Raw genomic sequence first — 22,489 nt, 5'->3', positions numbered from 1 at the left:
GGACAGAGGGGAATAGGCCCGCTCCTTGCCCTGCCCATGGGCAGGACTTCCTCCTGGGAGCCACTGTCTTCTTGCTCTGCCATTTCCCAGGGCACTTGTCAGAGAGTTGCAGGCAGTTTGGACACCACCTCTGCTGGATACAGTCTTTCCTGTTGCTGGAGGAAGAGGCTTTCTCCCTTGTGCAGTGATGCCTTCTTCCCCGTGGGTGTTGCTCCCTTCTCTGCTGCACCACAAAGAGCTGACGGAGCTGCTCTTGTTTCAGAAGAGTAGCCCTTTCCACTGGCTGGCCGTATTTCCAGAAGCAGAGGCCTAGCCTGGGAGCGGAGCGGCTTCTCCCCACTGTGCAAACCAGCAGCCCTTTAATCTGCCGGCCAAAGGCCCAAACTGCAGGAGGTGGTGCTGAGCCCCGGGATTCATTCTGCTTCAGGGGCTCTCCGTGGTCTCCACACTTATTCACAGCACTCTTTTGGCTTTTATCACTTTGTGCCTTAGAGAAAACACCCTCTGGAGCCCACCTTTTGAGATATGTTGCTCTTTCTATCCCTCGGGTTGTTTGTTCACCTCTGCTGCTTGTGAGCCTAGTTCCTGCCTGGAGAATTCTCGTGTTCTGTGAAAGTGCTCCCCCTTCTGGGCTTTCTCTGCTCCCGTCCTCAGTTGTGCAGCTCTGTGTGTTCCCAGCTCTGCCTCTTCCGGGGGTTCTAGGCTGCTATGGGTTTCCGGGAGGTTTCCTGGAGGGTGTGAGTGCCATTCCCAGCCAGGATGGCTCCTTTCTGGGATCGGGCACAGCCCAAGGGCTTTGCCTTTCCTCAGGGGCCAGGTGTGTCCAGGAGTGCGAGGCCCTGGATGGTGAGTGAGGGTCAGGTCAGACCTCCCCTCCTCCACGAAGCTCCACTGTGCTTTGCCGTCTCTGTCTCCACACTTTGTTGTATCTGCCATACTTCCCCCAAGTCCTGGGCCAGGGGTGTCCAATGTTTTGGCTTCCTTGGGCCACATTGAAAGAATAATTGTCTTGGGCCACACATAAAATACACTAACATTAAAGATAGCTGATGAGCTTAAAAAAATTGCAAACAAATTTCATGTTTTAAGAAAGACGAATTTGTGTTGGGCCACATTCAAAGCTGTCATGGGCCGTGGGTTGGACAAGCTTGTCCTAGGCCATGTCAGTGTTTTGAGAGCAGTGTAGGTGGTGACAGGCCAGTTCTGGGCTTCACCTGGGGTCCTGCTTATTCCCGTGCCTACCTGGCACTGCCCCCTGTCCCCCCTTAAACCTTTCAGGCCCCTGCACTTCTGTTGCCTCCTTTTTCAGGTCTGCTCTGTTTAGTCAGCTTTCCTAGCTGCTCTAGTCTCTCACACAGAAAAGCCAGCGAAGTTGGTTCAGCCCGAGGCATTCACACAAGCACCTGCCTGTGGTGTCAAATGGATGTGTGAGGCTTGGTCTCCAGCAGCTCTGCCTGGTGAAGCTGCAGGGTTGGCCGGTCTGTGTGCTTATGTGTTAGGCAGGCCGCCTAGTTGCACACTCTTCCGAGGGGCACCATTTACTTGGCGTTCCCTGGGACTGCTGGCTCTCAGGCATGGAGTCTGTTTCAGGAGTGTGGCGTCACCACTTCCATGTGCTGGTTCTGCTCTCCTGGGAGTCAAGCAGGGCCAGTCGCTGATCAAGCCTCCCTGGTCTCTCCTAGGACTACTATGGAATTCCCTTTGCTGCACCCACAGCGCTTGCCAGCCGAGATGGGAGCCTAGCTAATAATCCATATCCAGGTGAGTTTGCTCAATGGATGAGGAGTAGCCCGGGGCCGGCCTAGCGCGAACTCCAGGAGCTGGGAAGCAGCAACAGCAAGCTGAGAGAGGCCTCTTAGTAGCCTGTGCTGAGCTGGCAGCCAGACCTGTTCCTGTTTGCAGAAGCCAGTGTGGCCTTTCTCTGGTTGGAGGAAGGGCAGTGGCTGGAGTCAGTGCTCTTTCCTAGGTGATGTCACAAAGTTTGGCCGTGGGGACTCTGCATCCCCTGCACCCGCTACCACACCAGCTCAGCCACAGCAGAGCCAATCACAGACCCACCACACAGCCCAGCAGCCCTTCGTGAATCCTGCACTGCCACCTGGCTATAGCTACACTGGTCTTCCCTACTACACAGGCATGCCCAGTGCCTTCCAGTATGGCCCCACCATGTTTGTGAGTATTTCAGAGGGTGTGACTGTGTCTCCTGGCCTTGGGTTGCTGGCAGGTGGAAACCTGGGACCTATCTTCCAGCAGGGAGGGAGGGTTGTGATTCCACTCCGTCTTACCTGGTCTTCAGAAACTGTTCAGGCTGGGGACAAGGTCACTTTTCCCCTGCTGTGTTTAGATCCAGCATGTGTTGCACTAATGAAAACACAGGTCCCCTGTGGTTGTGGGTATGTCACCTGCTGCCTTAGGCTCTGGCAGGGGTACCTGACCAGCCTCAGCTTGCCTCTTCCTACACTAATACCTCATCTGCTTGCCCCCCCAGGTCCCTCCAGCCTCAGCCAAGCAACATGGGGTGAACCTCAGCACTCCCACACCTCCCTTCCAGCAGGCCAGTGGTTATGGCCAGCACGGCTACAGTACAGGTGAGGGGTACTTCCCAGACAGAGACACATGGGGTTAGACAGGCTTGCCTGGCTCACACTTGCCTCTTGTACCCTGCCACGCTAGGTTATGACGACCTGACCCAGGGGACAGCAGCAGGAGACTACTCCAAAGGTGGCTATGCTGGATCATCGCAGGCACCAAACAAGTCTGCAGGTTCTGGGCCTGGCAAAGGTAGTGTTTACCTCTCCTTTCCAGGATAAGGCCTGGAGTGGTGGGCTCCTGCCTGATCCCCTCTCAGGCAGGGCAACCCCTGAGTGATCCTGGAGGTGGGGAGCCTGGAGCTGGGAACAACTGCTGTGGGGAACAACTGCTTTTCCTCCTAGGAGTATCAGTGTCTTCAAGCACCACTGGTCTACCTGATATGACTGGTTCTGTCTACAATAAGACACAGGTGAGGGACAAAGGTGGGTTGGGTGTATAGGTTTTTGAGAGGTTACAGCCCAACCTGACCTTCACCATTGTCTTCTTTGCCCTGTAGACTTTTGACAAGCAGGGATTTCATGCAGGGACGCCTCCACCTTTCAGCCTGCCCTCGGTCTTGGGCTCCACTGGGCCCCTGGCCTCGGGAGCGGCCCCTGGCTATGCACCCCCACCATTCCTACACATCTTGCCAGCCCACCAGCAGCCCCACTCACAGCTGCTGCACCACCACCTTCCGCAGGATGCACAGGTGAGTACAGTGATGGAGGCAGCCACCCTACTCTGGGCCAGGGGTTCTGCTCCAGCCTTGACAGCCTTCCCTTCTCCTCTTCCTCAGAGTGGCTCGGGTCAGCGCAGCCAGCCCAGCTCCCTGCAGCCCAAGTCTCAAGCCTCCAAACCTGCCTACGGCAACTCTCCATACTGGACAAACTAAACCCAGAAGAGAGGGGTGGGCTGGGGCAAGGCTTATCCTGGGCAGGAGAGAACACACGAGCACGTATTTGGGAGCCCAGTGCCCTTTCCTAGAATTCCCGACATGTGTCAGCCATGCCTCTGTGGGGAGTCTGCCTCCCAGACTGGCTACTGTATGTAATGTATTTATGTATGTATTTGTAAATGTGATAGAAGTCTGGGGGGGAGTTGGGGGATGGCGGCAGATGTTAGCCAGGTCTGCCCTCCCCATTCAAGCCCCTTCTCCACTGTAGCAAAATAAGCACCCCCACCCCATCTGCCTTCAGGTCTTCTTCACAGCCTGCACTGCCCAGTGGGCCACTAGGGGCAGTCTCTGGAAGGGCTGGTTCAAGGCTGTTTGGGTATAGGGGTCAGGTACCAATGAAGAATCACGACTTGTCTCACTCCTTTGGAAATTGTTTTCTTTCCTGTGTAATTACTTCATACCTCTGTTTTTGAGAAACTGTTCCGTTTGTCATCTGTCATGGTCTCCTTCCACCAAATCTTCATCTGGGAATAGCAGCGGTATCCCTCCACCCAAGTATGGCCACCTGTTTGTCTTCATATAGAACAGGGGCTTCTGGTCTGGTCATGTCCCTAGAGACTTACTAGAGACTGGCTGACCATGAAAAAAAAAAAAATAATCTGAGTTATTCAGCCAGTCAGCTCCCCTTTAAAAATCTAAGGTATCTCCAAGCAACACATCTCCATTCTAGTTGTCTTGAACCACGTGGGCAACTGTTTCAGGGGTTTTCTCTTGCCCAATCCCCACCTAATAAAGTTCTGAGAGCATGCATGGTCTCTGTGTGGTGTGACTGAAGGGCAGCTCAGGGCAGAAGCCCTGGACTTCACAGGGCTAAAGGAGATCCCACATGGTCATAGTCTTCTGACACAGGCTATAAAGGCTTGAAATGGTTTTCCTTTTTACTGGACCCTCTTGGCCCAAATCACAATGGCTGTAAGGACAGCTAAACCTCCTTACAGGGCCCAGGCCATGTTGATCAAAGTTAACCTGGCTTTTCTTATAGCTCCTTAAGAGACTTAGGGATAGGGCAGTGTCCCACAGAGCCCTGTCCACTGGATACCAGGGCAGGGTAATTTCTTTTCCAAATCTCAGTGGACTTTTACAATCTGAAGCAAAGCCAAGAACTGAGAGCAGGGTTCTAGGCCTTAAGGGAGAGTATGAACAGGTATACCTGTCTTTTGCTTGTCATCAACTGAACATAATCTTGATTGGCAGTCAAAAGCTATGGTAGAACACGTGACTAGTGAGGGTGTCATGAGGTAGGCTGGTGGATCCGGGGCTACATATCTGCTCCAGAAAAGCCCAACCAACCATTCACCTTGTGTCAGGTCAGAAGCCAGGGAGTAACCAAGGGCCATAGGAAGGAGGCAGATCTCCTGTTGGCCAACCACAACTGTGCTCCAATCCAGCAGGCAGGAAGCTCAGGGCCTAGAAGTGTTGCCCAAGGTGCTACAGCCTCTCTTTTCACTCCTAAATCGCTGCTTCAGATCAGGTTAAAGGAGGAAATAAAATGGCTAGTCAGGTGATTGATTGATTGATTGTGTCAGAACCAGCCTGGGGTCACAATCTACTTTTTCTGCTTTTGGCCTCTACAATTGAGAGCGATGGTCCTGTCATCAGATGGGACCGATACTCCTATTAACCCACAGCTTGGGACCTTACCTAGAAAAAAGGTAAGTGTCTACAGGTAAAATTAGGACTTTTATTAAATAGGGTGATCTGCCTGATCCCTGCTATTAGCAGCAGTAAGTTAGGAAAACAAATGACAGTGAAAATGTTTGCCTAAGGAAAGCAGCAGAGCACCCCTCAATCCTTCACTGACCTACTTGTATCAGCTCCCGTTTTCAGAATCAAGTTTAACAAATGGCTACGTCTATAAGGAGCTTGAAGGGACTGGGGATACACCAGGGAGGTGAGTTAGTTAGAAAGGCAGATTCCCCAGTTTTGGTTTTTGTCTAATTTTTCAGCTGAGCCCCAGCGTAATCTGCAAACTTAACAGTGATAATGAGACCACCTTTTAGTTTTCTTTAACACAAGGTAAAAAAAGAAGAGGGTCATTTCATGGGGAAGTAGCAATACAGGTATTTTATTTCACATTTTATTAGTAGACAGATGGGCAGAAAAAGACAAAATAAACCACTAAAGGGGAAGTCAACACAAAATCCGTCAGATAATCTTTTCTCATAAGTTAAACTGAAGCAAAACATCTACAATTTCAGCTAAAACTATTAAAGTCAGGTGTGTCCTGCTGGTTTCAGAATAGTTGAAAATTGCATCTGAATCCTTTTAGTTGTAAATGTAAACCTTGTTTGTTTTATCAGGATGGGAGGGGTGGAGAGTTCCTTTCCAGTGGAGAGCTGCACATTTCCCCTTCCAATCAGTTTCTTACAACATGTGCCCCAAACGTAAGGAAACCAGCAAGTAAAGAAGCAATTTGCCAGGGTAAGGGAAAGAAGGTTCTACAAAAAAGTTTGACTAATAGAAAATAACTCTGGAATGATTGATAAAAGGAGAAGGGGGGAAGACTGAAAGAATCAACAGCAGAATCATATACTTCTCCACCCAGCCTCAAAATACACAGAACTGAAGAGCATCTAGTGAGGCCTCAATTAGAACTAAAAGGAATCTAAAAATGCAGGATTTTGAGTTCATGTCACATCAAATAATAAGCAAAACTGTACGTACATGGTTCCGGATTGAGCCTGAGACCTCCACTCCCAGAAGGGGGAAAAAAAATTACAAACTCAAGTATTTTCCACAGGGATGTGTTCTCAGGGACAGAGCTCTGGAACCAGCCTCTGGGTTTCGTTCAGTCAGTCTAAAATACCAGAATGTCCACCTGCTAGCAAGAGACTTACCCAGTCTTCTGGAACTGATTGTACTCATCAGAGGCAAACCCAGCCCTTGACACTTTTAACACCCCAAAGGGCTGAAAGGTACAACCTCCACTTGGCGCTCCGGCTCCCTGAGTCAATGTCTAACAGAGGCCAATAGGGCCTGATGGAACAGCTGTGCAGCAGAGCACCTCCCGCAATGCCAGGGTGCTGGGGCTGCCCTGGGAGTGAGATGCTTTAGCAAAGGGGAATGAAAGGCTTAATTTTAGGGCTCCAAGAGAATAAGACCAAGCTACTGGCTGTAAACTTGCATGGGGGTTTGGGGGCATTTTGGGGGAGGTAAATCAGCACTGTGAGAGGCTTTGGCTCCACAAGATTTGCAGGTTAATCTGGAAGCATTACTTACAAAGTATGGGGAGTAAAAAGGTAGTTCCAACATCTATGAGAGTTTGTAATCAGGTAACTTGACAATGTATTACGAAGCTGCTCTGTTCCATGGATCTGACTAAAATCACTAGATTCTGGGTGCAAGTAGCAACCCTGGCCCTGTGGAGATCACAGATTCTGGGACCAGGCTCAACAGTGTCCCCTAAGAGCCTTGCTTGTTAAACAGTCCCATTTCATACCAGACCAAACTTTAGAGGCTGGGAAGGGCTGCTGGGACCAAACTTTAGAGGCCGGGAAGGGCTGCTGGGAAGAAGTCATGTGTTTGGGAGTTTGAAGAGTGAAAACCCTGAGATCAGAATGGAAGGAGGAGCTAAGGAAGTAAGCGTCACCTACTCTGGCCATCCTAGGATCCCTCCTGCCCCGTCCCTAATCTGCCCTTTGGTTCTTTCTGAGTTACGAGCCAAAGGAGGAGTTGACACTAGTGCCCAGGGGTCTGAAATAGGACTACAGTCAGTCCTTGCTGCATTTTCCTTCTGAAATCTGATTTTACATTATAGCGGTTTCCTCCAAATAATGCCCTCCTATGATCTGGTGCACCCCCATAACAACCAAAAATTACCTTCAAGTTCTGAAGTCTCCTGGATGGTGAAGGCTGCTGGATCTCAATATTGATTGAAGCAACACGATTGAGATCTGGAAAATCAAAGCTGCAGCAAGTGCATTGCAGGAAGATCTAGCCTTATCTGGCCTAAAAACTGCCTGCAGTCAACTCCCTCAGCCCTGCCACAATTTCTATGCATAATTCTGCTTGCACTCCACAGCCTAAGTATGTTGAAAGGAGAAAAAAAGTTCAGATCACATCCAATGAAGAAGGCGGTAACTCGTCTCACACACATCCAAGTTTTTCACTATCAGTATAAGCAGCTCGATGAAAACCGAAATCTTAACACATGCACCTAGGATTAATACTGAGTAATTAAAAGTGGCTACTTAAAAAACAAAAACAAAACGTCATGGTACGAGTGTATTTTTGATGGGAAGGCCATGCTAAATCTATAAAACAGATGTTTCCTCTCCCAACAGTGGTCACCAGTAGTTTCAACTTTTTCCCCCCAGTAGCATCAACCAAACTTAGCATAGTGATTTTTAACTCTTTGCTCCCACACGCACTCATCCCAACTTCCCCGCTTGCCCCACTCCCTGGGGGGAAATAACCCTGCCTTTAAAATAAATAGCAACCAAGTGCTCAGTTCTATGGAAAGTATGAATATTTATTTCAGGCTTTCGATCCCAATCGATTTCAAAAAACAAAGTCTGATTTCTCTCCTCAGAGCAGCTGAGGCCTCCATGTTACGATGGTTTCATGGAGATTGAAGGAGCACATTTCATCAGGCTTAGCACAAAGTCCCTGATGCCCACCATGTCCCAGCCTTAGGAAAGGAAAGAAACAGAATTCACCACCATGGGGCTGAACGAATGCACACACACTAATGTAAATGAGCAGCTAAACCTTGGCAAATTTGTTTTTTTTTTTTTTTAAAGTTTGTTTTGTGGGTTTTTTTCCATTTTCTTTTGCTACCCAGTATATGCAGCACTTGTGAACTCCCAACAGGTTCCCAGCTTTAAACACATTAAACATCTTGAAAGACTATTGAATTCTTCAAGAATCTAAAAACAGACCAAACGTGTTTTGCTGTGAACATTCTGTAGAGACGAAGTGAGGCGGGAGTTTGGGTTCATATTTTTTAAAAAAAGAATCAATATAGTGATGGAAGGGTAAAGAATGCAAGAATTCAGACATTCTGTGGAGGGTTACTCTCTCTCCATTAAAGGTCCATAAAAAGGAGCAAACTGAGATCCATAAGGGGAGTCAGCAGGAGCTGTGTGTGTTTCCCCACCCGCTGTGAATAGGTTTTTGCTGAGGGGCCATGGCCAGGTCCCCACTTGCTCCCCTCCCTTTGGCCTGAGATGGCAGGGCAGTACAGGGGCACTGAAGGAGCACGTCACGACTCCTCATTCCCAGAATCATCATCATCATAACAGTCGGCATCTTCCTCCTCCTCATCTTCATCATCAATGTCGTCATCATACAAGTCGTCGTAAAGCAAATCTGAGCTGTTGTCATTGGAAGGCACTTTAGTTTTGATGCAGTATTCCGCCAGGGTTGTGGGGACCTTCACTCCATCCTTTTCTGCTTCGGCCTTAGTGGCTGAAACTTGTTTCCTGAAGGGAGGTTGACACAGAAATGGTTTACGGTAAGTCTTTTTTTAAGACAGATTTATAATTGGCCTTAAATAATCAATATTACTTATGACTCAGCTCTCCAAACTTCAGTACCTGCCTGAAAGCATCTGACAGATACCCTGTACTACACCAAATGCTTTCAACCCACTGGGTACAATTTTGAAGTAAACTTTGACTTTTTAGGAGGGGAAATACACTGTTAATATCAAGGGAGTTTAAAGCAGTGGATCAATTATAGCCAGAATCACCTCGTCAACTGGCTGTCCTCCGATTCATGTAAGGGCCAATAGGTCGGCGACTTAAGAATCAGAACAGGTATTGACTTAGTGGGCGGAATGTCATGCTTTGTTGTTTGCATGTGTGAAGCACAGGGATAACTGCCAGAATAAGAATAGATAATAGAAGGGCTAATACGCCTCCTAGTTTCTTGGGGCTAGATCATAAAGGTTGCATATGTGAATAAAACGTCCCACTCTGGTTTAATGTGGGGTGGGGTGCTTAGGGGATTGGCTAGGGTTTTGGCCTAGTCACCTCACCACCAAACTCAAGTGCCCCAACAATTCTTAATTTAATTATCCTCTTAATTTTCACTGACAGTAAAATTCAAATGCCTATGCCAGATTCCAGTGTCTTGCACGACCCACTCTTCCCCACCCAAGACGGAGTCTTGCTCTGTCACCCAGGCTGGAGTGCAGCGGCGTGATCTCGGCCCACTGCAACCTCCATCTCCCAGGTTCAAGCAATTCTCCTGCCTCAGCCTCCCAAGTAGCTGAGATTACAGGCTCCCGCCACCCCACCGGGCTAAATTTTGTATTTTTAGTAGAGATGGGGTTTCACCATGTTGGCCAGGCTGGTCTCGAACTCCTGGCCTCATGATCTGCCCACCTCGGCTTCCCAAAGTGTTGGGATTACAGGCATGAGCCACTGCACCCGGCCACATGACCCACTCTTGTATTTTCTCCAGCCCTTCAACACATTCACCCTGGTCTTTTTTTGGCATCTCGGACACACCTTGTTGATTTTTCTGTCTGGACCAGTTGCTCTTCCCCTGCCCCACACATGCCTGGCTCCTTCCTGTCACTCAGAATCACGGCCTCAGATATTAAGGCTTAAATATCACCTTAGAGAAGGCCTGGCCTGACAACCCAATTTAAAGCAGCCATCTAGTCATTCTTTCACATTATCCTACTTAGCACTATCTAGTATTTTTTGCTTGCTCACTCTTCTGTCTCCACATATTTGAATGTGAGCGTAAATGTCTTTCTTAGTCCCATTTCCCCAGTCAGTGCCTAGCACATAGCCTGGCACATAAGAGGTGTGCAATAAATACTGATTGTATGAATGAACAAACAATAAATTGTTTCCTTCAACAATTATAAAAATTTGAGTCATCAAGACTAGACCACTCTTCCTGATCTTCCTAATGTCAATCTCTTAGTTGTGCTTGAAGCTTTTCTTCTGTTGCCTTGCTTTGAATATTGATGGTCCTGAGGCTTCTGGGCTTCAATCTCCACACTCTCAGCACTCTCCCTGGGACATCATCTCTGTTCCCATAATTTTAACCACCACTCCCTTTATGCTGACAGCTCTTGGCTTATATAAACAAATGCCTTTTGGAAGCCTCTGTCCTAATGTTCCATATGCAGAGGTAGACTGCATATGCATTTTCTACCTCTATGGACAGTTTCTCCCATTTTACTTCTCTGAATAAATGAGCATTGCTTCTTAAAATAATAAATCTCACTCCAAAGACCTATTGCTTTACAGCTTAAATATTTTTATATCTGTCCCCTCATCCCCATTACTACTACCTCAGTTTAGTCCATGTTGGTCCCCTGGCCAACTATTTGATTTTTTTTTTTTTTTTGAGACAAGGTCTCCCACTGTCACCCAGGCTAGAGCACAGTGACGCAATCTCAGCTCATTGCAACCTCTGGCTCCAGAGCTCAAGCAATCCTCCCACCTCAGACTCCCAAGTAGCTGGGATTACAGGTATAAGCCACCTCTCCTGGCTAATTTTTTTGTAGAGATGGTATTTTGCCATGTTGCCCAGGCTTGTCTCAAACTCCTGGGCTCAAGCAATCTGCCCGCCTCGGCCTCCCAAAGTCCTGGGATTACAGGCGTGAGCCACTGTGCCCAGCTGACTGTCTTTTTTTTTTTTTTCTTTTGAGACGGTGTCTTGCTTTGTTTCCCAGGCTGGAGTGCAGTGGCGCGATCTCAGCTCACTGCAACCTCTGCCTCCCGGGTTCAAGCAATTCTCTTGCCTTCAGCCTCCCGAGTAGCTGGGATTACAGGTGTGTGCCACTATGCCCAACTAACTTTTATATTTTTTGGTAGAGATGGGATTTCACCATGTTGGCCAGGTTGGTCTCGAACTCTTGACCTCAGGTGATCCACCCGCCTCAAAATGTTGGGATTACAGGTGTGAGCTACCACACCAGGCAGCCAATTCTTTTATCAGAACTCAAATAGCATCACCTCTTCCCTCCCAAAAATATTTAAGTGGTACCCCATCACTTCTTACATTAAGAACCATACTCTTATCATGACTTCAATGTCTTTGAAGACCCTGGTGCCTCTCTTGCTTAATTTTCTAATATTTCCCACATCAGAATTTACACTCAAGCATTTGTAATCCCCTTAACATGTCATGCTGTTATACTCCTGTATTTTAGCAAACATGGGTATTTTCCCTTTTTTCACCTGAAAAAGTATTGGTTATAAGGAATTATCTCTGCTAGGAAATCTATTACATTATATATTTCTCCCAGTGTATCTTGTTTAGGCTTCTATAGGTATAATACTACATGGTCATTTGTTTTCAAATGCTAATAAAGTGAGCTCCCTAAGGAGACAGGCTATGCCTTAATGAGTACCTAACACAAAGCTGTTGCTTAGTGTCAGGTACTGTACTAGGTCATTAAGGAATAGATAGAATGAGATAAACGGACCCTTAAACAAATTAAGAAATATATAGAAGTACCTTGGGAATATGTATACCTAAGCTTTCTGATCTTTCAATCCTTAGTACACTCCCACTCCTCTAAATTTCTGTAGGATCTTAATATTTCTACTAATTATCTTCAATGTTTGGTACACATCAGTCACCTAGGTGAGATATATATACACACACAGATGCCCAAACTCTGTCCTTGTAATCCCATAAAAGACAGCTATTGTTTAGGGACAGTTTAAAAGTGATCCCAATGGGCAGAAAACTTAGAACTGCTGATTTTATATTACTCAGCAGTCACCTCATGTCCTTTCCCAGCATTGTTTTAACTTTTTTCATATCACATGGTCTCAAGCCAACTAGATTTTATTCTTATTTGTATAAATGCCAATGCTTAGTCAACTCCTATGCACAGAGGAAGCTGTAACTGTATTTGGGGTCTCTATTTTAAGAAATAAAAATGTAATATCAAGGGGGGTGGAGGCCAGGCACGGTGGCTCACACCTATAATCCCAGAGCTTTGGGAGGCTGAGGCAGGAGGATCACTTGAGGCCAAGAGTTCAAGACCAGGCTGGGCAACACAGCAAGACCTCATCTCTACAAAAATAATAATAGAAATTAGCTGGGTGTGGTGGTGCATGCCTATAGTCTTAGTTACTCAGGAGGCCCAGGTGGGAGGACTGCCTGAGCCCGGGAATTTGAAGTTACCATGTAATCACACCATTGCACTCCAGCCCAGGCAACAGAGTAAGACCATGTCTGTTTCTTTAAAAAGAGGTGGAGGAGGCTGAGTGCAGTGGCTCACGCCTGTAATTCCAGCACTTTGGGAGGCCAAGGCGGGTGGATCATGAGGTCAGGAGTTCGAGACTAGCTTGGCCAACATGGTGAAACCCTGTCACTACTAAAAATCCAAAAATTAGCTGGGCATGGTGGTAGGCGCCTATAATCCCAGCTACTCGGGAGGCTGAGGCAGGAGAATTGCTTGAACCCAGGAGATAGAGGCTGCAGTGAGCCGAGATCACACCACTGCACTCCGGCCTGGATGACAGAGTAAGACTCCATCTCAAAAAGAAAAAAAAAATTAATTAGAAACAAATAAAAAAGAGGTGGAGGGTAGGGGAAGTGTAGGGTTTGTATTTATTGCAAATTTCTTGGGTACTATTATAAGAACCTGATGTCCTAAGAGATTAAAGGTTAAGCTTTTTTCCATTTTATACAGAGGAGAAAGTAAAAGACCCCAAAAATTATCTGATAAATGGTCCCATGAGTAGATTCCAAGTCCCCTGAATCTTATTCTAGGGCTCTGTTATACCATACATTAGTGTTGCTGATAATGAGGATTTCCAAACAATCCTTGCTGCTATGGTCAGGAATGCCAATAAACTGGAAGGCTTTATTTATTCAATTTTTTTTTTTTTTTGAGATGGAGTCTCGCACTGTCGCCCAGGCTGGAGTGCAGTGGTGTGATCTCAGCTCACTGCAACATTCAACTCCCGGGTTCAAGCAATTCTCCTGCCTCAGCCTCCTGAGTAGCTGGGATGACAGGTGTGCACCACCACACCTGGCTAATTTTTGTATTTTTAGTAGAGACAGGGTTTCACCATGTTGGCCAGCCGGTCTCGAACTCCTGACCTCAGGTGATCCGCCTGCCTCAGCCTCCCAAAGTGCTGGGATTACAGGCATGAGCCACCATGCCTGGCCAGAACCTAGAAGTTCTGGTTCCTAGAAAATCAGGTCTGCTACTGCCTTATCTTCTAGTGGCTGTTCTCTCGGTAAACAGCAAAGTTCTTTAGGCTCAGGCAGAAATCTTCTCTTCCCACACTATAAATCTAATAGAGGAAAATTATCCTGGAATGGACAGGATATTTAAGTTTGATTTAAACCCTTGGTTCCAGAATATATTTTGGTTTTGTATAACTTGAGGTAATAAAAAAAAAAACCTTACCTAATAATTTCAGCATATTCTTTGTCTTTTCCTTTACTGTCTCTCCATTTCCTGAACATAACTGAAGCATCGACATTGGCTGGGGAGAAGGTGTTGGGCTCATTAAGCAGTGAGATTACACTTAATAGGATAGTCCTAGAAACAGGAAAAAAGGATCAGCTATGAATACCCATATTTACAGTATTTAAAAGTATTCTGCTTTTTAAGATAGTACAATCAGATTTCAAATTCTCCCTCCCTTAAAATTTTTCTGATACAATTAAATTTAAGACCTTGGGGGAATAGAGATATAAATTTTTTATTGATAGTTTTCATAAAAGGCATTTAAGAAAAATAAAAAAAAATTTTTTTCAGCACTAAGAAACAAGCTGCTAACTGGCAGGCAAAGCAGAGGAAATCTGTGATTCTAGTATAAGGGTAATGCACAAGTGATTCTAGTATAAGGGTAATGCACAAAGCATAAAAATGAACTTGATAGAAGGCCCTGTTTCAACTGGTCACATGTTCCAACCTACAGAAAGCAGATGTCTTAGAAGCTTTCAAATACTGTTTATTTTAAAAATTACAAATTAAATGGCATGGGGGAAAAAGCTTAAAATATTTAGTTTCAAGGCAATCTTGATGTGGGAGCTGGTAAAAATGATGCTATTCTATATAACCAGGTTTTTTTTTTTTTTTTTTTTTTTTTTTTTTTTTGAGATGGAGTTTCACTCTTGTTCCCCAGGCTGGAGTGCAATGGTGTGATCGCAACCTCCACATCCCAGGTTCAAGCGATTCTCCTGCCTGCCTCAGCCTCCCGAGTAGCTGGGATTACAGGCGCCTGCCACCATGCCCTGCTAATTTTGTATTTTTAGTAGAGATGGGGTTTCTCCATGTTGGTCAGACTGGTCTTGAACTCCTGACCTCAGGTGATCCGCCCTCCTCAACCTCCCAAAGTGCTACGATTAAAAGCATGAGCCACTACGCCCGGCCGTTTTTTTGTTTTGTTTTGTTTTTTGACAGGGTCTTGCTCTGTCACCCAGGCTGGAGTGCAGTGGTGCCATCTCAGCTCACTGTAACCTCTGCCTCCTGGGTTCAAGTAATTCTCCTGTCTCAGCCTCCTGAGTAGCTGGGATTACAGGCATTGTACTACCACGCCTGGCTAATTTTTGTATTTTTAGTAGGGACAGGGTTTCGCCATGTTGGCCAGGCTGGTCATGAACTCCTGGCCTTAAGTGAACTGCCCGCCTTGGCCTCCCAAAGTGCTGGGATTACAGGCATGAGCCACCGCACCTGGCCCTATATAACCAGTTTTTATTGTGGCCTCTTAACCTGAAAAACAGTGCTACATCCAAATGTATTTTTTCCATACTTGGAAGGAAGACAGAGTAATGCAGGAGAATGGAGGAAAAGCAAAATCCTTCAAACAGAAGAACTAGAGTCTCTGAATAATAGAAATCTTTATTCAAAAGTATTTACTATGTACCTACTGTGTGCCAGAGGCACCAAGTGAGATGCTGGATGTACAATGGTGAGCAAGTTAGATGCCATCCCTGGTCTCCCATGGCTTACAAATCTAGTGGGTGTTACAAACGGCCAATTTTCATCCACAGATAAAAATTAGACATTCCAAATAATCAGGGAATAAAGTTTATGTTAGAAAGCATAATAGGGGCCAGGTGCAGTGGCTCACACCTGTAATCCCAGCACTTTGGGAGGCTGAGGCAGGCAGATCATGAGGTCAGGAGTTTGAGACCATCCTGGCCAACACGGTGAAACCCCGTCTCTACTAAAAATACAAAAATTAGCCAGGTGTGGTAGCAGGCGCCTGTAATCCCAGCTACTCGGGAGGCTGAGACAGGCAAGAGAATTGCTTGGGCACGGGAGGCGGAGGCTGCAGTGAGCTGAGATCACGCCACTGTACTCCAGCATGGGCAACAGAGCAAGACTCCATCTCAAAAATAAATAAATAAATAAAAGCGTAATAGGCTCCAAAACTGTTCCAAATTACTCCTAGGCTTTTTCCCCCTAAAAATTATGTGCATTAGGAGAAAATGGGAGGAAAAATGAAATTTCTCTATCTTTTCTCATTGATGAAAGGTTAGAGATTGTGTTGTTGTAAAATACCCTTTTGCTCTGGGCCCCAAGCCAAAAATAAAGGGAGGAAACCAGGCAATTAGATGTTTGATTTGATGAAAACTTTTCCTTAAAAAGGCGAAGAATTTCTGTTACATGATTTTATACAAGATTATGACAAAGGCATTTTCAAAGAAAACATTTCTATCTAATTAAAATCCATTGATCACACATGCTCCTATTAGGTTAAGGATAACTCCTTGGCCTTCCTCCCTCAAGAGCTTTCTGGATTTCTTCAGTAATTACATTAAAAAGAATCGAAGAAGCCCAGGCGTGGTGGCTCACGCCTGTAATGCCAGCACTTTGGGAGGCCGAGGTGGGCAGATCACAAGGTAAGGAGATCGAGACCATCCTGGCTAACATGGTGAAACCCCGTCTCTACTCCTGGGCTCAAGCAATATTCCTGCCTTGGACTCCTTAAGTACTGGGATTTCAGGTGTGAGCCACTGCTCCTAGCTGGAAAAACAGTGCTTTTAAATTTTTATTTATTGATTGTTGAGATGGGGTTTCACTCGTCGCCCAGGCTGGAGTGCAATGGTGTGATCTTGGCTCACTGCAACCTCCGCCTCCCGGGTTCAAGCGATTTCCCTGCCTCAGCCTCCCAAGTAGCTAGGATTACAGGTGCGCGCCACCACAGTTGGCCAAATTTTTTTGTATCTTTAGTAGAGATGGGTTTCACCATGTTGGCCAGGGTGGTCTCAAACTCCTGACCTTAGGTTATTCACCTGCCTCAGCCTCCCAAATTGTGGGACTACAGGCGTGAGCCACCTTGCCCAGCCAGAAAAATAGGTTTAATTGTCTAGATCAGTACTGTGTACTAATAACTTTCAATGACGACGACGATGATGATGATGATAATGTATAACCTATGCTGTGCAATACAGTAACCACTAGCCACATGCAGCTACTAAGCACTTTGAAATGTATCCTGCACAAATGAGGAAGTGAATTTTAATATTTATTTATTTATTTATTTAAAGACAGGGTCTCACTATGTTGCCCCGGCTGGAATACAGAGGCTATTTATAGGCGTGATCATAGCACACTACAGCCTCAAACTCCTGGGCTGAAGTGATAATCCTGCCTCATCCTCCCAAGTAGCTGGGACTACAGGTGCATGCCACTGTGCCAGACTAGTATTTAATTTTAATTCAAATGTAAAAAGCCTCATGTAGTTAGAGGCTACCACATTGGACAACACAGATCTAGATGAATCCTATTACTTGAATTAAGAAAAAATTCCCACAAGTACTTTCACCTAGTTGGTTTTCTTACATCTTGTGTATTAAGATGATGTGTATATTGGGAAACAAATTTTTAAATGGTAAATCATCCATATCTAACAAAATGAGAAATTCTAATTCCATGTCCTCCTAAGTTAAAAATCCAGGATGTTTTAAGAGGCACTGAGTAATACAGCAGACTAATATAGTGGTAACTGTCAACCCAGTAAGTTTTCTTCTGTCTGAAGAGCAGGATCTTTTTTCTGTCTGAAGAGCAGAATCTTTCTTTTTCTTTTTTGTATGGGGAATAATCTCCTTCTCCTACCATTGTGCCACACCTCCTATACAAACAACCTACCTACCTACAGCAGTAGACATAAGACCAAGCAAGTGCTGAAAGGATTCCATCCCTGTTGTTATGGCGATGCATTTGAGGATATGCATGTGACCTAACCTGGGCCAATCAGAAGCCTGGTGGGAACTATTCTTGATTAGATGGACACCTGTGAGAATAAGGAAAGCTGACAGCATTGGTCTCCTCAGGCAGATGGATGGATGTGAACTGGAAAAAACTAAACTGCTGAGATAATACTGTTGGAATACACAAAATTGAATTTGAATTTAAGAACTATTTCAGGCGGGGTGCGGTGGCTCACACCTGTAACCCCAGTACTTTGGGAGGCCGAGGCAGGCGGATCACCTGAGGTCGGGAGTTCAAGACCAGCCTGACCAAGCAACATGGTGAAACCCCGTCTCTACTAAAAATTAGCCAGGTGTAGTGGCACATACCTATAATCCCAGCTACTCGGAAGGCTGAGGCAGGAGAATCGTTTGAACCCGGGAGGTGGAGGTTGCAATGAGCCGAGATCGTGCCATTGCACTCCAGCCTGGGCAACAAGAGCGAAACTCTGTCTTAAAAAAAAACAACAACAAAACAAAACAAAAAACTATTTCAACTGCTAGCTCATTTTTTTGTTTAAAAAATGAGTTTAAGTGTTTAAAATCCTTATTCATTTACTGTATTTTCTCAGGAGAAACAAGAGGTTGGACTAGCAAAATAGACCCTGAGGGCCCATCATCCCCAGACTCTCGGTTCCTATAAAGAATAACTGTAGTACCCTTTGCTTTCCCCGCCCCTCCACAAGAACACACTGGTGCACCACCCTTCTCTACTCCACGTCTAGAGGAACAGATCTGATCTATCTCAATCCAGCAGAATACATGTTTAACATTTATTACAACAAAGAACAGACCTAGAGGGAATTTGGGATAAGAATGAGGGCCAGAGAGTTCTTAGTCTCTGTGGTTCATTACACAATTCCCACTGCCACCATTCAAGGAGTTAGAGATACTCCCAGAAATAAATGTGCTCCTTCTGCCCCTCTTTATGCCACAGCGAGGCAATAAGATAGGTCTTTTCAGGATAGAGGATCTAGGCCAAAAGAGAAAAATGCTAAGAAGAGAAAGGAAACACAGAAAAAAAGGACAGGCAAAAGCACCTCACTTTACAGTCTTGAGGTTCATATTTCAGATCCTTTTGCCTGCTTCAGTTATCTTTGGTCAGAGGTTATTTAGCTATCTTGTTCTGAATAAAAAATAAGTTTGTAAACAATAAAAACCCTCAAAGAAAATGAAGACCAACACATCATATATAATATATATTGCAGACTAGCCAACAGCAAATCAAGCTGTGAAGTTCTGCAGAGCTCATATGTGTTTAAAAGACAAAGCAAACTTGGGTCTCACCCGGCCCCCAGGCTCCAGTGCAGTGGCAGAATTACAGCTCACTGAAGCCTTGACCACTTGGGCTCAAGTGATCTTTGCACCTCAGCCTCCTGAGTAGCTGGGACTACAGGTGCACACTACCATGCCTGGCTAATTTTTTTGGTAGAGATGGAATCTCGTCATGTTGCCCAGGCTGGTTTTGAACTCCTGGGCTCAAGCAATCCACCTGCCTTGGCCTCCCAAGTTGCTAGGATTAAGGACATGAGCCACTGCGCCTGGCCTAAAGAAGTATTTAAGGGAAATTGGAAATTAGGATTGTATGACCCAATGCGTAATACTCCATTTGCCCATTTTCAACATGTCGATAACCCTTTCTCTGTTAGCTACTATGTCACCATAAGCATAACTTTAACAGGGTTGTGATAGCCCTAGCATCACAAATAAGACCTGGCTCGAGGGTCTGCCTGGAAACCAAGCAAGAAAAGTTCATAATTTTGAAGGATTACAGACTGGCACCTTCCCCTGGTCCCACCTCCCATGTATATATCATCCCTCCAGACAGCATGGGAGAAGTAGAAAGGGCTTATTCCTAAAAACCAAAAAATCTAAGCTTATGCCAGGTGTGGTGGCTCACAAGTATAATCCCAGCACTTTGGGAGGCCGAGGTGGGCGGATCACCTGAGGTTGGGAGTTCAAGATCAGCCCGACTAACACGGAAAAATCCTGTCTCTACTAAAAATACAAAATCAGCTGGGCATGGTGGTGCATGCCTGTAATCCCAAGTACTTGGGAGGCTGAGGCAGGAGAATTGCTTGAACCCAGGAGACGGAGTTTGCAGTGAGCTGAGATCGCACCATTGCACTCCAGCTGGGCAACAAGAGCAAAACTCCATTTCAAAACAACAACAACAACAACAACAACAGCAACAACGACGACGACGACAACAACAACAACAAAACCTGAACTTACTTCACGCCATAATCATGGGCAAGCATGCATGTATGCACATGTGCACACACACAAACACACACGCAGATTGATTTAGATATTGAGTTTTATAGACCCAGCGTAATGTGATGACAGTTGATGTGTGAAGTCCAGGTCTCTGGAGCCAAACCTAAATCCTGCATACTGTTACTACCACTCTTACTGACTCTGGGTTCTACCCTGACCTTTCTAGTTGTCCTGGGTCCTTAAAATCTCTCATTTCCACTCTATCAAAGGATGGGCCAGTAACTACAGATGACTAGTTAAAGCTCAGTCCTCATTGCATGTTTCAATGTGGGGGAGGGATTTAAAGAGGACATCATGACAAAGAATAAAGAAGCCTGTTATGATAGGGAAAACAGGGCAACTGATGGTAAAATATAGTAGCTTAACGGGTTTACATTATTATAAAGTTTCTCTTTAGGCTGCTAAAGCAACCAACAAATATAACACCTCCTTCTGTGCAGTGCTGGATCTGCTGCTGACTGATGTATCCCTGAGAATGCAAGGTAGGAATACAACTACAGTTTTTAAATGCCCAAATTATGTATCATCTGCAGAGAATGGAATTGGCAGGTTGAGGGCAGTGGGACCCCATGCACAAAAACCAAGGAAGCAAATAAATAAAACCACACTGTTCCAGAATTGGGTTTAAAAGAGCTTTAGGAACAGCATGGTTATGCCTGTTTCCCCTGACTGTGCTTACTTTGGCACCCAATGCTAGGGGTGATGTCTCTGGCTCTCTGTTCTTAAGACTAGACAGAAAAATATCCTACCCCACTTCTGAGACAGACTCTTTTATACCAAACAACAGCCTCTCTTGATTGGGTTAATAAATTTGGTTTCACGCTTTATTTTTGAAATTGAAAAAGAAAACATTATGTATGCCTCTTTCAACATAAAGCAAATCCACACCAAGACCACTTCACCATCCCAGAGCCTATAGCAGATAGTAGTTCTGGGGATGGTGTCTCACAGAAAGCAGCTGTGAACTCTATAGCAAAGTCTGAGGGCTTTGCTACTCCCACTCCCACCCTACCCTATCCCCAAAGCTCCCACATCATTCTAGACAAATCATGTATTAAGGCACATTTTGTTTCCTCCATCAGGAAGAGGCATAATGCTGTGAACTTCTAATCAAAGACGTGTGGCAACTCCCAACTCCATTCTTGCTGACAAATGCCTACTCCTTAAAACTTTCCAATTCAGGAAGAAACTCTCCCCACCACCTCCAGCCCCACCAATTTAATCCTGGGCCTCTGGGAGGAGGAGGCCTGTGGATGTTTTCTTTCAAAAGAAGTATGCTGGTTTTCCCAAGAGGTAGCAAGCTACCGAGCCTTTAGTGAACACCAGTTGGCTGATTCTCTGCATCCCTAAAATTCTTCCTTTTCAGGTTGGCTAACTCTCACTACTCACCAGATCTGATAATACAGACTGACTTAGACTCTTGAAGGTAACTGGAGTCCCTTATTCTTCAAGTTACAAAAGTGCTCCATTTGCCACTTTATGTTATAAATATGTCCATTGAGGTGCTGAACAATAGTCTTGAGTACACGTGGTTATGGAGAAGAAAACCAAATACGTGAATATGGAATCACTTTCAGATGCCAGTGAGAGGCAGCAGATAAGACTCCAAAACAGGATGAGATGAACCCTATGCCATCTCCACTGCTGTCTTACTACAGCCACCCATAAACTGGACATGGAGCCCAGAACCCTTAGACAGTTGCTGGCCCTAGATAATTTAGCAGCAGAGAGGTACAAGAAGGAAAATAGTTGCCCATTTCCACTACATCTTGTATCTTCCCTCTTAATATTTCAGTGCCATAAATGACCTGTTAGAAAATATAACAGTTTACTACTTTAAAACCTCCCTTGTCTCACAACCAAGTGAACACAGAAACAAAAGGGATAAGCGAAAGTATTCCACATCTGCTCATTAGGTAGTGCTTTCCTGACTTCCGCTCAGAGTTCTGAGCACCACCAGGTATTCCAGACAGGTGAGGTTCCAAAAAGTGTACAAAACATCCCACAGCCCCCGAAAACACCAATAAGATCAAAATGTTGAAGGACTACCCAATGATTACATAGAACTAAGTGATAAAAAGTCTAAGAAGGTAAACAATTTCCAACCCAAATACCTTGTAGAGCTGTGTGAAGATGTTAGGTGTAACTCCACATAACTAGTTGTAGTTGGGAAGCTTCTAAACAAAGCAGCATAAAAGCAGGGAAAACAATCTTGATTTGAGTATGGGGAATGTCCCTAAATTGTGGCTCAGGTGGCCTGGGGACTCAAGTGTGAGGAAACAAAATGATGCTAGTACCCAAAGTAACAAAGGCAGTTTCAGATGGGCAGATAAGTATAAAAGGAATCCTCTGCCTCCAAAAGACTGGATTACATGAGAAGTAGGCCTATTTTAAAAGAAAAAATGTTCATAATACTTTAAGCTGAGATAAGGCAAATGACATCATTTGCGTGTAAATGCAAGAGAAGTAAAGGATAAAAAGCCTGAATTCCCATGGGTGGTGGCAATACATTATCCAGCCAAGCAGCATAAAAATGCAATGAGG

General features: G+C 45.4%; 2 protein-coding genes across 15 annotated transcripts in view, besides 1 other annotated feature; one reads left to right on the top strand and one right to left on the bottom strand.

The window, feature by feature from the left end:
• Positions 1-4,274, top strand: part of UBAP2 (ubiquitin associated protein 2) — a 127,507-nt gene extending 123,233 nt beyond the window's left edge. For all 10 annotated transcript variants that reach the window (NR_163243.2, NM_001370059.2, NM_020867.2 and 7 more), the window contains 7 exons: positions 1,683-1,761; positions 1,967-2,172; positions 2,489-2,588; positions 2,674-2,781; positions 2,934-3,001; positions 3,089-3,280; positions 3,368-4,274. Coding sequence is in view for 9 of the 10 variants with exons in the window: in NM_001370059.2 (NP_001356988.2) it covers positions 1,683-1,761; positions 1,967-2,172; positions 2,489-2,588; positions 2,674-2,781; positions 2,934-3,001; positions 3,089-3,280; positions 3,368-3,463 (849 nt within the window). In the remaining variant the exon portion in view is untranslated. The remainder of the gene's footprint in view (positions 1-1,682; positions 1,762-1,966; positions 2,173-2,488; positions 2,589-2,673; positions 2,782-2,933; positions 3,002-3,088; positions 3,281-3,367) is intronic.
• Positions 612-851: an enhancer, noted in NCBI's record as "active region_28303". NCBI's record gives its function as "activates an Ori minimal core promoter by ATAC-STARR-seq in GM12878 lymphoblastoid cells {active_cell/tissue: GM12878}" and the evidence as "EXISTENCE:reporter gene assay evidence [ECO:0000049][PMID:35858748]".
• A 1,293-nt stretch (positions 4,275-5,567) lies between the features above and the next one.
• UBE2R2 (ubiquitin conjugating enzyme E2 R2) overlaps positions 5,568-22,489 on the bottom strand; it is a 105,232-nt gene continuing 88,310 nt past the window's right edge. For 3 of the 5 annotated variants that reach the window (XM_047423541.1, NM_017811.4, XM_005251496.3), the window contains 2 exons: positions 13,869-14,003; positions 5,568-8,949 (listed from right to left, as the gene is read on the bottom strand). In XM_047423541.1, the coding sequence (XP_047279497.1) occupies positions 8,730-8,949; positions 13,869-14,003 (355 nt within the window). In that variant the 3' untranslated portion in view covers positions 5,568-8,729. The remainder of the gene's footprint in view (positions 8,950-13,868; positions 14,004-22,489) is intronic. The other 2 variants (XM_011517949.2, XM_017014860.2) reach the window with 1 other exon arrangement.

This window comes from Homo sapiens, chromosome 9, assembly GCF_000001405.40.
Source record: "Homo sapiens chromosome 9, GRCh38.p14 Primary Assembly".
Lineage (NCBI taxonomy): Eukaryota > Metazoa > Chordata > Mammalia > Primates > Hominidae > Homo > Homo sapiens.
This window is presented reverse-complemented; position numbering and strand designations above follow the sequence as displayed.